Genomic DNA, 18,421 nt, shown 5'->3' on the forward strand with positions numbered 1-18,421 from the left:
GAAAGATGATTGTGTTTCTTCCTTAAGGAAAAGGAAGCTATTTTAGCATGCCATTTGTTATGAGGAATTTATAAATGTATAAGAACTAGGCAAGATATGGTGAATAAGGGGAACACAGAGATGTTTTAACAACAGAGAGTATTTTACTATAACCAAAAGTTTATTTATATAAACTAATTCTGGACTCCTCTCAAGAATTATGTTATAGACATGAGGTTGCTTTTCTTCTATTGTGGCAAAATAATTTTCTCAGGACTGTTCTCTCAAGTTCCAAGTGATTGTGTTTTGTAATTTTATTTCTTTAGTATTTGTCCAGAGTTGGTTTGTGTTCTTGCTTTATTCGATTTTCTATTGAAGCTGTACTACTATTACTTACTCTCTTGCTAAGGCATTCATGCTTTTTATTTCCTGTTTTATATTTTAACTTTAGGTGTAATTTGTAGCTTGACTTACATGAATGGTTCTCTAGGTCAAACTCCATTTTCTTTAAGTAGCACAAAATATCCCTCTTTCTGTCTTAGTTCTTGATCTGTTTTTTCCAAAACTTTCTCAAAAGAAAAAAAAACGGTGGGCGGGGAGGGGGGAGCGGAATAAAAAACAGTAGTAGTACAGCTGAATTTATTCTAAAAAGTAGATTGGCTTACCTTTCTAATGATCTTTCAATTTTGTCTGACTATGAAGCTAGGTTACAGTTCATCCACAAGGACTCAAATATAGAAGTACGGAGTCCTTCTTAGGCCATATTTAGTTTGTTTTAACGGAGGTGATTCCATAAAGTAAAAACAAGTTTATTAAGGAAGTAAAAGAATAAATAATGGCTACTCCATAGGCAGAGCAGCAGCATGGTCCACTCAGCTGCTTAAACTTATTGTTACTTCTTGATTATATGCTAAACAAGGGGTGGATTATTCATGAGTTTCCGGGGAAGGGGGTGGGCAGTTCCCAGAACTGAGGTTTCCTCCCCTTTTTAGACCATATATGGTAACTTCCTGACATTGCCTTGGCATTTGTAAACTGTCATGGTGCTGGTAGGAGTGTCTCTTAGCATGCTAATGCATTATAATTAGTGTATAATGAGCAGTGAGACAACCAGAGTTCACTTTCGTTGCCTTGAGTTTTAGTGGGTTTGGCTGGCTTCTTTACTGCAACCTGTTTTATCAGTAATGTCTTTATGACCTGTATCTTTTGCAGACCTCCAATCTCATCCTATGACTTAGAATGACTAACTTCCTAGGAAGGCAGCCAAGTAGGTCTCAGCCTCATTTTACCCAGCCCCTATTCAAGATGGAATTCCTCTGGTTCAGATGCCTCTGACAGTATCAGATACTGATTCATTTGATTGCTGGGGAGTAAAAATGGGAGAATAAGCAAGTTTTGATTAAAAAAAAACGATATTTTGCATGCATTATTGCTTTTTCTTGCTTTATCTCAATTATGGTTGTCAGATAGTGGACTACTGATTACTAATATCTTGGTGGTGGGGATTCCAGAGGGAACCTTAGTGGAGTTCAGTCTACTTCCACAAATTTACAGCTGTAATGACCCTTGGGTTGAAGTAGTTTTCTACATATCAACCTGAATCCTACTGTTTTATGTAATCTAAGATGATGTGGAATCCTTAGTAACCACATACATTATCCCCACCCTTTCATTGGGTGGACATTGGTGTGGGCATTGGTGTTCATGCTTGGCAAGTCTTTTATGGTTTACCCAGGAAGACAATTTACTGTCCAGAAGGCACTTACTGTAATGGCCATCAACAAAGATGGTAATTAGTTGTCATTCAAATTCGTCTCTGAACGACCTTGCTGCTGCAGCACTCTGAGCAGAGTGTTAGGTCAAGGGCATTCTTACATAAAAGCAGGTTAGATTAGTCTGGCAAGACAGGCTGAGTATTACTCACTATTGATTACTGATTATTTTTTATAGTCCTTTTCTTCAGGTATAGAAATCAAGTTAGGTGTCTTCATTTCCTGACTCTTCTTTATCTACTTTTAAAATATAGATACTTATTAGTAATTGTTTCCCATTTTGTTGTTTCTTAGCTATTTATCAGTCTACACAAAGTCTATAAACCGGAAGATGCAGTAGATGTAGTATTTTATTTATTTATAAATTTATTTATTTATGGTATATATTGATTTTTTCTTAAATCAGTAGTTGGCCTATAATAACTTTTACAGTTCTAAACATTTCCCTCAAGGGCCCATATCCTGAAATGTGTCATGAATTTAACCCAATAGGCCCAGCCAATTGTAATTTCAGTTTGTAGCCACAGTTGAGATCGAGTTTTACCTGGAAATCTCTACCTCAAACAGTTGGGTTATGGTGCAAACAACAGAACTTCTGCAGTTCCCATTCAGCTGTCCGAGGATTACATGCCCTCCTTACCTACCCTGCCCCTCTTCCATGGAGGGGGTCAGGGTGTGGACAAGCCAGGGCTGGTTAGAGCAAGATCAGAATGTTGGACAATACCAGTATTACTTGAGGGCTGGTTCAAAACTGCAGTGGGATGTAAAGTTGTTCTTCAATTTTAACTGAAAAATAAGCTTCACTCCAGCAGAGCCAAAGGATATATTTTTTTTTGTGGCTTCCTATAATGCAGGTACTTACTAGGGGATATAAGGTAATATGCTGTGAGGATTTCAGTATATAAAATTATTTCTGGAGAGAGAATATCCGTCTGTCTTCCTTTGCCACTCTCTCCAAATGCGTGCTCACACACACACACTCTCACACCATACACACACATGCACACGCACACACACCCACACACACCACAATAAAACTTTTCCCCAAATACTTTGGCTTTCTGAGGAAATATCTGTCCAGCTGGGTTTCCTGTATAATTTATTTTCTAGCAACAACTTTAGCATTTGGGATGTATAATTAAATCTTTCAGACTGCTGAAATAGATTTGTGTATTCATTTGCTAACTGTCATGCTAACAGTTAAAAAAAAAACACACAACAAAGAATGCACCTTTAGTTTCAAGTGTCTTTTCCTTGAGCAGTTTCTTTTTTCTAGAGACAGTGTTGTTAGTTGTGTAGTTGCTGCACAGGATATCTGCATTTAAATTCTGAGCTTTAGGTACTTACAGCCATGTAAAACTAATATCCCTTTGTATCCAGTGGCTTTTTAGCACTTACTGTGTAAAAGGCACTGAAAAGTAGATTGCTTAAAGAAGCAATCATTTGTATGCATTTGTTTCCCCCAGTTATTAATTATAAAGAATAATCAATATTATTACTCATATTGGAACCAATTCTCTGGATTCCGAGAAACCAGTTAGAGGAGCTTTCTGGAGTATATATTGCCTTCCCTTCACTGACACATGGGAACAGCTCTGAAAACCAAGTGGTGAATGGGTCTAGAAATTCCATTACATTCTTCTGTGTGACTGAAAGAAACACTGAATATTATAGATTGAAAAGGTGATAAGATTGCATATTTCCAAGATAATTTTTAAGGAAGTGTCCTAATTTCTCGTTTTAGGAAAATTTAATAAGGTCAAAATGGTCACACACAACAGCCAATATCTGTTATTTTCTTAGATTATATGTAAAAGTGTACAGCAGTCATCAAAAGTGTTAAGCTGGAGTAAACAGACTTTTAGTCATCTTAGTTTTTGGTCTTGCATACAAAGCTTGGCAGATATTAGATACATGATCAAAGTTTGTGGTGCAAATGTATTAACATACAAAATTAATCACGGTAGAATGTAGCCTTACCTATCTGGATCACTAACATAATACTAAAAGTATATACAAAGCAGTAAAATGTCAAGAATATTCCATAATTTTGAAGACAAACAGATACATGGTCAGAGAACAAATAGATGACTGGAATTAGACATTCAGAAAAGAAACACATGAATACCCGAAAACTTAGTAGATGATATAAATGGCATTACAAATCAGTGATTGTGCTGAGACCCAGTGCTACTCATATGAAAAAAAGAAAATTCGATACCTTTTTAAGATAATAACTATAGTTGGATTAAAACCCAAAATGTATAAAGCAAGCATTTATGACTCCTAGAAGAAAATTGAGAGAAGGGAATTCTTTCTTAAGGCAAATATATATAAGCCATAATGGAAAAAAGTGATTAAAAATGAATACTTTGAAGTTTTAAATGTCTGCACGTTAAGAGGCCCAATAAACAAAGTATAAAAGAAAAACCATGAAGAGGAAAGAGGTTTTGCAATACATTTAATCAAGAAGTCATTGATATTTAGCATATATAAAAATCCTCCAATAAATAAATATTTAAATTTAAAAAATGAAATGAGATGTCAGTATAATTAGATTGGCGAAATTACAGAGGCTGATTAATCTTAGTATTTGTGAGGCTGTAGAGGAGCAGAACTCCCTTAAAATGTGGATGACATTTAAATTAGAATTATTATCTTGGAGAACAGTTTGCTCAAATTAAAGATATGCTATACTTTGCTCTAGCAATTCTCCTTTTATGTGTATACTCCGAAGTAATTCTTAGACATGTGGAAGAAGAAACTCACATAAGGATGTTCATAGCAACATTGACTGAAATGGCAAAGAACGGAAAGCATGCAAATGCTCAGTGAAAGTATATAACAAAAATTGTATATATCAACACAATTTAAATTTCAAAATAAGAATGTTGAATTTTTAAAAAGCAAGTTGCGCAGGTAATACAAATGTATGACACAACTTATATATAGTTTAAACATAATACAACAAGAGCAAATAGTAAATTATGAATTTGAATGCATATGTGTGGAGAGTGTGGGGGTGAGTGTGGATGTGGGGGGATGTAGGGAAATAATGTAAAGCTGTGTATAAGAAAAGTAAATACTAAATCCAACATAATGAATAATTTGGAGTGAGAGACTTATGTACAAGGACCTTCAATTTTACTTGAAGTAGTTTATTTATTAAGTTGGGGAACTGGTTGATTTATAAACATTTACTTTTTAAGGTGGGTGGATGATACATTGGTGTTTGACACGTTAATCTCTATACTTTATGTATTTTGCTAGTCTAACATAAGCAAATGAATGTTTCAGTTAGGTAACCGAAATTGAAAACAATATAAGCTTCCCATTTCGAAGAAGGATAGAATAGTTCACAGTAGGGTAAGCCTTAACTAAAAACAAATAGAAAAATTAATTAATTACAAAAATAGCAAGCAGAACTTTTCAGAAGTGAGCTGAGAATCTGCAGTGTTCCCTCAGGGGCAGTTACTCAATCTCCACACAGGTTACAAGTTGCAAATATGGACTAGGCCCAGAGAGAAGGTCACTGTTAGGAACAGGAAACAAGCAGAGCTTTTTATAACCCTATTGGGCTGGAGAAACAAAAATGGAGCTTGAGGGTTTTCAAATGCATGTACATTTTTCAACTCTGACATTTCATGGATTCTAAAGCTGCACAAGATTTGAACAAAAACTTTGTGAAAACAGAGTGCATTTCTTGCATGTATGCACTGTTCAATAAATAAATACCTGCCAAGGGTTGGAGCAAGGGAAGGTACATGAGATCAATAAATGAGAGTTGAAAGTACTTGTAGGAGTACCAGTTTGACCTTGATCATCTCCTCAACCTCTTTTTCCCTAGGTTCACTTAAAAATCTGAACGTATTTAGAGGGTGATAAACCAGGCTTGCACCTTGAGGGAAGACCATTGCTGTGGTACAGGGAGAAAAAAAAAAAAAAAAAAAAAACAGAGCTTTTGGCAATGGAACAAGGGTTGGTGTGACAAAATCTGAAACTTGAGGGACCTCTAAAGAACATGCAGTCTACCCCTGAAGACATTAGTCAAAATCTGAAGCTACTCAAAGCAGAAATTGAAGAGGTAGTTCAAAAAGGACCAAAAAAATAGTTAAATTTTTGCAGTCCTTTATTGCTGAGGAGACAAATATTTACAACGATTTCCAAGGAAAATCATGAAGGGCCACTCTCTCCAGGAAAAAGGCAAAGGAGAGATAGACTTAGTCTTCCAAAAATGGTCATGTCACCTTGACGTAACTCTTTTCATGGCTCCTTTAAGATTATCGGAGTAAGTTCCCACCACGCCATTTTATCTGGCTAGCAGAAGGAAGAGCAAAGATCTTCTCTAGACAAAGTGATCATCATCTGGAGCCTCTACCATTTCATATTTTAAATTCACAATGTCTTCATTCAACAAAAGTTAGCAGATATGGAGAAAGAAAAGATAGAAGCATGAAATTGATAATGTAAAGAAACAGGCACTCAATGAGTCAGTTTTTGGTGTTGGCAAGAATTCATTTGAAAATAGCTATAATATTATGTTCAAGATTACAAAGGAAATAGGGGAAAAAGATGAAAAGATGGAAAACTGCAACTCAAAACAACAAAATAAATAAAACAATAAAATCAAATGGAAATTCTACAACTGGAAACTGACATTAAGAACTCAGTGGATGGATTTAACAAAGAGCAACAGAAAATAGGATCATAGAACTTGAAACAGGATATTAGAAGATATCCAAACTGAGTCACAGATTAAAATTAACACAGATAAACAGAAAAGATGATTTAGACTATGGAAACAAAAGTCCTCAAAACAATTCAACAAGGGAAAAGCACATGATCTTTTTGGTTGAGTACTTTATTCCAGGCTTCAGTGAGATGTGAGTGTATTAAGATCAGATGAACTCTTTGGAGTTTGATGCACTTCAAATATTTGTTTGCCATTTATTTAGAAGAGAGTCTGATAGCAGAAAAAGGTAAAAATAAAGATTACTGCCTGCGTGTGGTGGCTCATACCTGTAATCCCAGCACTTTGGGAGGCCAAGGTGGGCAGAACACTTCAGGTCAGGAGTTTGAGATCAGCCTGGCCAATGTGGCGAAACCCTGTCTCTACAAAAAATGCAAAAATTAGCCAGGTATAGTGGCTTGCACCTGTAGTCCTAGCTATTTGGGAGGCTGAGGCAGGAGAATCACTTGAACCCAGGAGGAGGAGGTTGCAGTGAGCCGAGATCACACCACTGCACTCCAGCCTGGGCAGGAGAGTGACACTGCATCTCAAAAACAAAAAAAAAGATTACTGCTCAGCCTTTTCTCTTACAAATGAACAATTCAGCTTTGGCTCCAAATGTGCCCTCTTCACTTGACCCTATAAATGTCCTTCATCAGACTCATTTTTCTTGGAAAGATATTTCCTGTTGTTACTTGGTATGACTTTTGTAATCTTATTTATCCAATGAGCTTATCAAAATATTCATTCAAATTACTTGGAGTATTCTTTCTGAGAAGCATTCTGATAATTACCAATTTCTTCACCTTATTACATTCTTAGTGAATTTGGAAATTTTAAATAAATTGATGGACATTACTTGCCTGGCCGGACCATCCCTCTTAGCCCAGTTTATTTTGAACTCAGTGTTGTTACATGGTCAAGCCGCATAAAAATTATATTGAGACTCAGCAGAGAAATAACTAAAATAATCACAGTTATAAAGTCTTTGAAGGCATCCAAAGAAATTGCTCTAAGCAATGGAAAATTGTAAGTTTTTTAAAATCTAAGGCTCCATGGGGAAATAGAGTGAGTAACATGAAGAAAATATTAAACTGAAAAAAAAGACACATCTTGAAAATGTCGAAGAAAAGTCAAAAGATCTTGGAATCAATACTTCCCAACATGAAGTGGAGTTTATCAAAAAGCAACTCAGACTGGATGCAGTGGCTCACGCCTGTAATCCTAGCACTTTGGGATGCAGAGGTGGGTGGATCATTTGAAGTCAGGAGTTCAAGACCAGCCTGACCAACATGGTGAAACCCCGTCTGTACTAAAAATACAAAAAAATTAGCCTGGTGTGGTGGCACACGTCTGTAGTCTCAGCTACTCAGGAGGCTGAGGCAGGAGAATCGCTTGAATTCGGGAGGCAGAGGTTGCAGTGAACTGAGACTGTGCCACTGCACTCCAGCCTGGGTGACAGAGAGAGACTTCATCTCAAAAAAAAAAAAAGAAAAAAAAACAAAACCAATTTTTACAATACTGCTGGAAATGAGTGCATGCCACATTCTCTGGATATTTAGTTCCCATTTCCCCTCCCCATCCTTGTTCCTCTGTAATTCCTTTTCTGCATTTTTTTTGTCTCTTTAACTACAATTCCGATTTCCGTGTACATGGCCTGGTATGTATTCTAAACATACAGGCTTTGACTGGTCATGGGGACACCTTTTTCTGTGGCCATTATCACAGTGTGTTACATCTGTGTTTACTGATATCTTTTATTCTCAAAAATTATGCTTCTTGGCTCTTAAGTATTTGCTGAAAGGAAAAAAGCGTAACAAATGCAAGTGAGCTCTTACAGTGGCCCAAACACATATCACCTCAAGGGGGCATTCAGGATTTATTCATTGTTCTTTCTTGAAAGAAGGTCCTTGTCCTGCCCACTGAATTGAGTGTCTGTGAACATTATAAAATTTGAAAATCCTGTAGTAGTCAGAAGTAGCTTTGTATTTTTGTTTAATTCTTCCATTATGATGGATGAATCTTAACACTTTAAGTGGGAAGCAGGTTGAGTGAAAAATGGAAATAGTAACCAGGGAAAGAGGAAAAGAGGAAACTTGCTTTATGACATTAGATAAGTTGGGGTCTGTTATAGCCATTTATTCCAAACATGCAAAGAGTTATTTCTTCTGTTGACACTTAAATTTTAGGAAGATGTTTATTATAAAGCAGTAAGGTGATATAATCAATGTTAAATAAAAGCAATTTATCACTATGAATATATTTTTCTGAGTTTGACAAATTGTAACACTCAGGGAATGTCTTTAGTTACAAACATCAGAAAATCAGTTACAGGTGGTTTAAACAAACATGGACTCATTTTAAGCAACTACACTGACATGATGGCTAAGCAATGTCAGAAGGAACCAGGCTTTTTCTAGCTCCTGATTAGCCATTATTATGATTATGGGGAAAGAAAAACCTCTTTTTTTCCTGCTTAGCATGATACTCTGCTCTTAACCTGTGTAGGCTGATATCTTCAAAGAAAGCATGCCCATTGTCCTCCCTCATATTCCTCCCCCTAGAACCCCAACTTTAATTTCTTTATGTTTTTATTAGTAAATATAGGAGGAAGAAAAAAGATATAGATTATGAGCTTGTGATTACCATTGGAGTTTTTATTGTTATGCTTGCATGATGACCTCTGTATCTTCAGGTTTTAGTTCTCTTTTTCAGGCTGTATTAGAAGGGGAAAGATGGAAGAAGCTAAAAGGCAAAAGATAGGAAAAGATCTGCTTGTAAAAATGCTTGCTCAAGTCCTTTGCCCACATACACTCTGATTTGTACTCACATAGCATTGGCTAAAGCTGGATCACGGTTTAAAACCTTGCCTCCAGAGAAAGAAAAGGGAGAAGGGAGTATTGGGTGGCTATGGGGTGACTATTGTCTACCACACTTATTTCCATCTCTTTCTTTTTCTAGACAATTACAAAAAATACTCATATAAAATTATAATGGATGAGTATGATTAATAAGTAAATACAATATCAATGTAACAAGTAGTGTGAACCATGGCCATAATTGAAATAAAACAAATAAGGATTTAACTTGTGAAACGGAGATGAGCAATTGAACCAGTTTGTTTCCATATCTTCAGAACAAACTTTTATCTACTCGCCCCCAAAACAAACTCACCTTCACTTCCAAAAGTGAAGGGAAGGGACAAGAAAAGAAGCAAAATTGAGGACATATTTTTTATCATTTAAATTCATTTAACATTCTATTATGCTGATTTTTTATTTTGATCATGAGCTCATAATCAACATTTTTCTTCTCCCTTCTTATGGTAATCAAACACTCTGGAATTAAATTAAACTTGACACTTTGGGTAGATGAATGCAATGACAATTTGTGTAACTCTTCTTGGGAATGTTAATCTATATAGGTGCAGGGCAACATGCCAAGTAGAAAAAAAGAGAGATTGTGTTTTGTTCTCATGGATAATAAAATTTTTCAAATAGGCCCTGATATTAAGTGAAAGAAGACTTTTGTGTCAAGGTAAGTGCTTCATTCTTTATCTATGTGAGCTCTGGTGTGGCAAGCGTGAGGAAAGCACTTTCAAGCTCTTCCTTAACCTTTCAAATAAACACAAAAGTTTACATCTCATCCCATTTGGTAAAAAATACAAATGAAGTTCAGAGAATGTTGGAAAATAATTCAAGACCACATTACTAGTGAATGTCATAGCCAGATTTATTCTCAAAATCTGCTTAATTTTCTTCCAGTCATATGAATGTGGAGACTAAAGGTATTAAGCAAGATAAGGTTAGTGATTTCAACACTGGATTTACACAGACTATAAAAGTAGTTCTCATTTGGAGCTGTCAATTAAGGGATCTTGTTAAAAAATGAAGAAATAAAAAATCCTAATAAAATATTTTAATTTTTATTTAATCAACAAAATATTTATTGAACCCTTACTATGTGCCCATTACTGCAGAGTGCTAAGTAAATGATGGCCACCAGTCTGGAGATCTCATTTGAATCAAGAATGATTGTCTCTGAGGAATGCATGAACTGTCCTTACAAGCATCTCTCAGAAGGATTTTTCTATAAGTTGGCCATTGATAGGAACTGAAGCTTAGCATTCTTATGATAGATTCAAACACTATAGGCTCATGAAGTGTATGTAGGTGGCCTGGTTAATTTTCATCTGTGAGTCTTGACATCTGAGCCCAGACTATCACAGCATTTTTTTCTAATGGAGATTGCTACTGACCACCCTAAAAAAAGATAACTGAAGTCTTTAAGCACAGGGAGTTGGCATGACAACTTTGGTAAGATCAGGACCCCTACTCAAGATAGGATTTTTGAAGTTTTGATTAATTTTGATAAATTTGACAAAATTAGTTTTTAAAATCTATGTTGCTTAATCAGAGCAGTTGTGAACTCTGTTATCAGACCAGCTTAGAAGAGTCACAGAGTTTATGTATTTTGAAGGAAATATTCCAGTAGTATAAAGCCAGGCGTGTTCATTATCCATAATGCATTTATTTATTCCACAAATATGTGCTCGCTGTTATGTCAGTAGGTGAAAATAAGACACAGTACTCTCATGAAGCTCTTAGTCAACTAGTAGAGACATGTGATCTGTTAAAATATAGTGTGCTGTGGTAGATGATTACTTAAGTGCTCTAGGACAACAGAGGAAGAGGCAATTATGCTGGGAGTCTTATAAATGGCTTCACTGAGTGGAGTCTTAAAAAACAATTCTTTGTGAGAGTTTTCTTGGTCTTCCCATATCATCATCTGAAAACAAAGTTAAAAGGCTTTTGTCCATTTTCACTGAGGTAGACCTGATTCATGGTATTTTTTCCAGCTTACTTTAGCACAGAGGTGGAGTCCCAACTCTTGGTCATCTTATCTAGATACTTATTTGTTGGATTTTTTTTTTTTCTTTCAAAAAGCATTCTATGAATGGTAACTTAAAATGATATAGTAGTTATATATTTTAAATAAATATATTTTACACTTTTTTCCTAGCAGTTTCAGTACGAAAATAACCATTTTGTGATTTGGAGGGGAAAAAAGTATGTCATATCAGTATATTCCATGAAAGGCAAAGGTGACTCCAATGCAGTTCACCCATTGAGTATGCCCCACACCCACTCTAGGGTATAACACCCTCAGGCTCAGAAAACAAGTACTGGCTCTAAGATAAATGTTTTAATTTACTTATGTATTTGCATTTGCCTATTGTATATCTATTTACAGTATATATCTACTCTGATTTACTTAAAATAATCCAAAACCACAACATCAAGTTTTTCTCCCAGCCTTAAGTATCACCTAATACCAACTTGCAGAGCCATCTTTAAACTGATCCCTTATGTCAATGTAATGCAAAATTCTAAAATCCTTGAATAATAAGAATTAATGCAAAGTTAAGGAGATTTTGGAATTAAGCAATTTATTTGTACAATGCCAAGGCTTGATGGAATAATGTTTTATTAACCACACAGGAAAGAAATATTACAGTTATCGTAAGTTGGATTCAGTATCTTGAGGGTCCATTTTCTTTGGGTGTGTAAAACTACCATCACATAAAAAGTATCAAGTCTGCATGATTAATTTCTGAGTTGTTTGTGTGTGTGTGGGGGGGGGGTGGTGCGTGTGTGTGTGTGTGCGTGTGTGTGCGTATACCTGTAATTTAGTGAGATCTAATTTTGGGTCCTCGTCTGAACGAATCATTCTGGTTATATGGAGGGGAAAAAACAATTTTCTACACACTGCTCAAAACTATCGATCCGCTGTTTATCAGGCATTATGACTAAAGCTCTGATCCACCTTTCATTATGTTAGCCAAAAAATTGTAAAAGTTCATATAAATGTAGTTATTATTTTTGTCATTAAATACAAAATATATTGTGTTTTGATAGTGACATTTAATATCCCAATGCAATCATTAAATCTCTCTGTAGTTATCACCAACTAAATATTAGGTAATCTTAAACCAAATGTAAATAACTAATAATTGTTCTAATCTTATGGATTCTAATAAAAGTATTCTGGGCACTTGAATGTTAAATTTATAAAAGAGCCTCATGGACCCAATGCAGAGTCATCCCAGGTAGGTTATTACCTCACTCTAATTAACTTCAGTTCTTAATTATTGGTCGAAAGGGGTATCTTTAAGAGACTTAGGAGCCACTTGCACTAGCTTAGAGCAAGTTGATGCTTAGAAAGAGTGAGCTTAACTTGATGAAACTGCATTAATCCTCTTTTATCTTAATTGACCATTAGGAATCTTTTAATGGAATTCAGTTCTATAATAATTGTCCTTTCCAAGGGGGCTTGTGAGAGATTCCAATATCTCTCTGATTATCAGATCATCTTTCCAACTGGTTTCTAGAAATTGTGTGAGGTTCTGCATCAGCAGGTTTCATTTGTATTATTTAAAATAAAGGAAAATTAAGTTATATGTGGACTGTATTACCCTTTAGGTTCTATGTGACTTGGGATTCACCAAAACTGCTTATACCTGAAAGTGACTTGACATTTTTCAACATCAGTATCAGTGTCAGTATATAAAGTGTAGATCGGATGGAATCCAACAGAATCTGCAATTCTATCATTCTTGCTTCAGTAACCATGCGTTTGTTGCTTTTCCTTATGGAAATTTAAAAAATTATCATTTCCTTTCTTTGACCATGTAGAAAAAGGAAACAAAACAATTCACTTACTTTTTAACCTGGAAGAGTTGAACTGTTGTCTGAAAAACCCAAATGTATTAATATCTTCAGAAATCAGCATCAAGTTTACCTTTAGAAATATTAGTTTGGTGTTTAGGTTAGTAGAAAGAAGTGACACAAGTTTTAGAGTTTGGCTGACCTGTGTTACCACCCCATGTCCAAAACTTATTTACTGTGTGACCTTGGGCATTTCTGAATCTTTGTTTCATCTTCTGTGAAATATTAGTCATTTCCAAATTATGGAACCATTGTGATGATCAAAGATAGTGTATATAAACCCAAATTGTGCATAGCACCTGGCACATAACACATATTCAGTAAAGGTTAACCCTTAAAATATTATTATTAAAACAGTATATACTTTTTAAATATGAAAATTTCAGGAAGTTTAGTACAAGCTATTGACATACATGCGTCCATTTAACCAGTTGTATCCAGATGTCTTTTCAGTAATTTTTATATTGTTTCATCTAAATTGTGTGAAACATGAAGTTTCCTTCAGGCAGTGTTTTAACAGTAAATTTATTTTTTATATTCTTTTTGAGCATTACTACCTTTAATTGCATAGAATATTTTCATGCATAGATAAAACTTCGTAATATAAATTTTATTTATGAAAGTCAGGGCTTAAGATTTGCCAGAAAATTGAAGTAATTGATAAGAGTCTGAGATGCTTAACCATATTAAATGACCTAAATTCAAACTTCTTAATCTGTTATTCAAGGCCTTCTATGAACTAGTTTCATCCTCTGCTCTAAACTTATGTTCTACTAATCTGCTTCTCCTTATGTGGGCTGAATTTCAGTTTCTGGCATCACAGATTTTTTTTTATTCATTCAGGATGTAAGGCATTTTCACCCCTCTCAATATGTTCACATATTCATTCTGAAAGTTACCTATTACAGAAAGCTCTCCCAGATTACCTCAGTTAAAAGTGCTTGCCCTTCCTCTGAACCCCCATTTTTGTCATCTTTATATAGAGGTTTTATAAGATCTATCTTTCACATGGTAATATAATCATAGCCCTCATGTCTTATCTTTTCTATTATATTATAGTAAAAGTTCCTTGGAAATGGGATCTGGGCTTGATTAATCTTTTGTGTAATTGCAGTAGTGAGCAGAGGATTTTGCACCTAGGAGGCACACCGTATATATTTGTTAGAAACTGGTCATGTTTCATATTTTTCAGTTCAGGATAGTGTATTGAAATATGAAATAAGTGGTGAAATAGGTAACTGTATACAGTACTTGCCCCCTGCCATTCATGGTTTTATTTTTTGCAGTTTCAGTTACTCATGGGCAACCATGGTGTGAAAATATTAGGTGAAAAATTCCAGAAATAAACTGTTCCTAAGTTTTAAATTGCACTCTGTTCTGAGTAGCGTGATGAAATTTCCCAGCTCCTCAATCCTTTTTGCCTGGTACCTTAATCATCCTTTTGTCCAGCCTATCCACACTGTTGACACTTCCCACCCATGAACCGTCTGTTATCAAATCTGTTGCTGCAGTATTTCAGTGCTTGTGTTTCAAGTAACCTTTATTTTACTTCATAATGGCCCCAACGTGCAAGAATAGTGATGCTGGCAATTCGGATATGCCAAAAGAGGCCGTAAAGTGCTTCCTTTATATGAAAAAGTGAAAGTTCTTGACTTTAAATAAGGAAGGAAAAAAATTGTATGCCGAGGTTGTTGAGGTCTATGGTAAGAATAAGTTTTCCATCCATGAAATTGTGTAGAAGGAAAAAGAAACTTATGCTAATTTTACTGTTGGACCTCAGACTGCAAAGTTACAGCCACAGTGCATGATAAGTATGTAGCTAAAATGGAAAAGACATTAAATTTGTCGGTGGAAGACATGAACAGAAATGTGTTCTGATTAATGGCAATCAGGTTCTCCATACTATACAGTTGCAGACATCCACTGGGGGTCTTGGAATGTATGCCCCACAAATAACGGGGGGATTGCTGCACTTAGTATTCCATAAAGACGTAGTGTGTATCTTCTCCCTATAGGAATTTTTAATGGCGCATACTTACATCAATAGCAATTTGTATTTAAATTTTTCTTTGTAAATAATGTTGAGGAATGTAACCCCAATCAATATATACAATAAACGGAATACAAAAATGGAACTCCAGTTATAAAATACGTTTTATAAAAGGTCTGATGTCAATGCAAATAAAGTAAATGTATTTTCTTATTTGTAATAACCAATTGGGGACTAATAAGCATTTTCATGGAGATAACAAAGGATTTTTATGTGTAATCTTTAATGCTTAAATAAAAGGTGATCGTTGAAAAAGATTTTAATTGCATGCCAAACTGCCCAGAATCATAATGCTAAGTAACTGCCATACTCATTTACAGTGGGCTTTTTGGTAAATTTTGTAAATCTCCTTGAAGTACAGTTTGTTCATCATTTGAAGATGAAGATAATAGCACATAGCCTGCCTACCCTGTGTGTTACTGAGAGGATCAACTATGATTATATAAGGAAAGGAACGTTTAATTTCTGGATTTCTTATAAAATACAAATATTACAATTGATTATAATGCTTGTTTGTAGTCTTTTAAGAAAAATGGTTTATATATCTGAGCAAAGGGTTCATACACAGGCTGACGACACCTCCCCTGTGTTCCCAAGAAGATCCTTGTGCTCAGCGTGGATGTGTTAGAAAGCTCACAGATTGCATTGCATGCAGATAACTTAGAGCACATCTAGTACACCCCTGTTCCCTCTGCATCCAGCGTATGAAAACTTTTCTGGAAAATGCTTAGGTATGCATGCAACAGTGACCCTTGGTCATCTCCCAGGATTCTGTATTTCAGTCCCCGTGGGGCAAGGGTTGGTGTCGGTCTACTGCAACACAAAGTGGCATGAATGCAGCCACATGTTCCGCATGGATATAGCCACGTGGGACCTACACATTGCAAGGAGCTGCATCTTGTGCCTACACTCCTTTCTCCTATGTCAGTGCTCTACCACTTGAGCCTGGTATGCATGTTGACTGTTCTCAGCAACCTCAAATCATGCACTGATCTCTTCCCTGGGTATTCCTTATCTGCCTTTTAACCTTGGCTGCATGCATATGTTATTCCATCCTGTGGCACTACCTGACCACCTGGTGAAACAATATCATTTTCGGCTGGGCGTGGTGGCTCACGCCTGTAATCCCAGCACTTTGCGAGGCCGAGGCAGGTGGATCATTTGAGGTCAGGAGTTCGGGAGCAGTCTGGCCAACATGGTGAAACCCTGTCTCTATTAAAAATATAAAACTTAGCTGGGCATGGTGGCGGGTGCCTGTAATCCCAGCTACTCAGGAGGCTGAGGCGGGAGAATCGCTTGAACCTGGAAAGCGGAGGTTGCAGTGAGCCGAGATCGCATCACTGCACTCCAGCCTGGGCAATAGAGTGAGACTCCGTCTCAAAAAAAAAAAAAAACGAAAACAAAAAAAACCACACACAAAAACAAAAAAATGTCATTTTAAGTTTTGTCCTACTGGAGGTGTTTTTGTACAATCTTTCTTACAAGTTCTCCATGATATTGCAGATGGTATTCCTGTAGTTTTTTCTAAACAAAAATGAAATAAAGTATACCTCCTGACAATAAAAATAAGCCTTGGCAATTTTGCATTAATTACTCTTCATGGCATCAAAAATAAGAGAGAATTTTGCCTCAGAAAGCTGACATAGCTTTGTGAGAAAAGATGTGGTGTAGCAAAGCAACTAAAGTACACAAGTGTGTGTAGAGGAGTGGTCAGGATTGAAGATTTGTTTGATGTTCAGTGATGTTTATATTTCTGAATTTTTCATGTGTAATGAACAACATACTAGTAAAAGAAAATAAGATGGAATTTAAAGGGACTGAAACATTTGGAAAATATGAAATGATTCAATTTTCTTTCTCTCTTACTTTTCGTGCCTCCCTCCATTATTTGAAACTGTTCTCATCTAAGTTTACTAACAAGGATACAAAGACACACATGACCACTACTGTCTTTGCTTTTCACTCTTGACACAGGTAATAAACTAATGTGGTTGTGAATTAATAGCAGTGACTACAGGTGAACAACAGAATCTTCCAATACTGTGAAAGGAGAAGGCTGTTTTTGATTTTTTTTTTTTTTTTTTTTTTTGAGTCAGAGTCTTGCTCTGTCACCAGGCTGGAGTGTAGTGGCACGATCTTGGCTCACTGCAACCTCTGCCTCCCGGGTTCAAATGATTCCCCTGCCTCAGCCTCCTGAGTAGCTGGAATTACAGGAGTGCACCACCATACCCGGCTAATTTTTTTTTTTTTTTGTATTTTCGTAGAGAAGGGGTTTCCCCATGTTGGCCAGGATGGTCTTGATCTCCTGACCTCGTGATCCGCCCACCTCGACCTCCCAAAGTGCTGGAATTACAGGTGTGAGCCACCATGCCTGGCCTGTTTTTTTTTTTGTTTTTTTTTTTTTAAGTCCTTCGCTATTTGCTTCTCTGCATAATCAATTTATTAAGAGATATGTGAGCAGTTTGTTTCTACATTTGACATAGACCTGTCGATAGAGTTTGTGTAAGTATATTGGGAGCATGTGAAATAATTAAGATATCTCGAAACTGTAGCCGGGGGCAGTGGCTCACGCCTGTAATCCCAGCACTCTGGAAGGCCGAGGTGGGCGGATCACAAGGTCAGATCGAGACCAACCTGGCTAACACGGTGAAACTCCGTCTCTACTAAAAAAAAAAAAAAAAAAATGCTGGGCGTGGTGGCGGGTGCCTGTAGTTCCAGCTACTCGGGAGGCTGAGGCAGGAGAATGGCATGAACCTGGGAGGCGGAGACTGCAGTGAGCCAAGATCACGCCACTGCACTCCAGCCTGGGCGACAGAGCGAGACTCCATCTCAAAAAGAAAAAAAAACAAACAAACTGTACCAAGAACTGGAAGGACTGTTACAATAAAAAACACCAGTAGTCACACTCAGTAACCTGAAAGAGTGTCCCAGAGAATGGTGAAATTGATAGATTACCCAGTATCTCAAAGGAGAGCACACTGAAAGAAGACATGTCTCATCTTCTGGGAGATTGAATCTTAGGATAATGATAATGAGACATAACACTGTACATAATAAACCCAGTGTGATTTGAGGTGCCAAGAGATTATTGATAATATATGTTTAAAACAGAAGCCCTGTGGGGAAAAGTTAAGAGTGAGAAAGTAGAAGGGAAAGAGACCTA

General features: G+C 36.3%; 1 protein-coding gene across 2 annotated transcripts in view, besides 1 other annotated feature; it reads left to right on the forward strand.

The window, feature by feature from the left end:
• B3GALT1 (beta-1,3-galactosyltransferase 1) overlaps positions 1 to 18,421 on the forward strand; it is a 581,045-nt gene that overhangs the window by 41,631 nt on the left and 520,993 nt on the right. The gene's annotated exons all lie outside the window — the stretch shown is intronic.
• Positions 1,028 to 1,322: a silencer, noted in NCBI's record as "tiled region #15114; HepG2 Repressive non-DNase unmatched - State 23:Low". NCBI's record gives its function as "represses a minimal TATA promoter and a strong SV40 promoter by Sharpr-MPRA in HepG2 cells {active_cell/tissue: HepG2}" and the evidence as "EXISTENCE:reporter gene assay evidence [ECO:0000049][PMID:27701403]".

The sequence above is a fragment of the Homo sapiens genome, chromosome 2 (assembly GCF_000001405.40).
Source record: "Homo sapiens chromosome 2, GRCh38.p14 Primary Assembly".
Classification (NCBI taxonomy): Eukaryota; Metazoa; Chordata; class Mammalia; order Primates; family Hominidae; genus Homo; species Homo sapiens.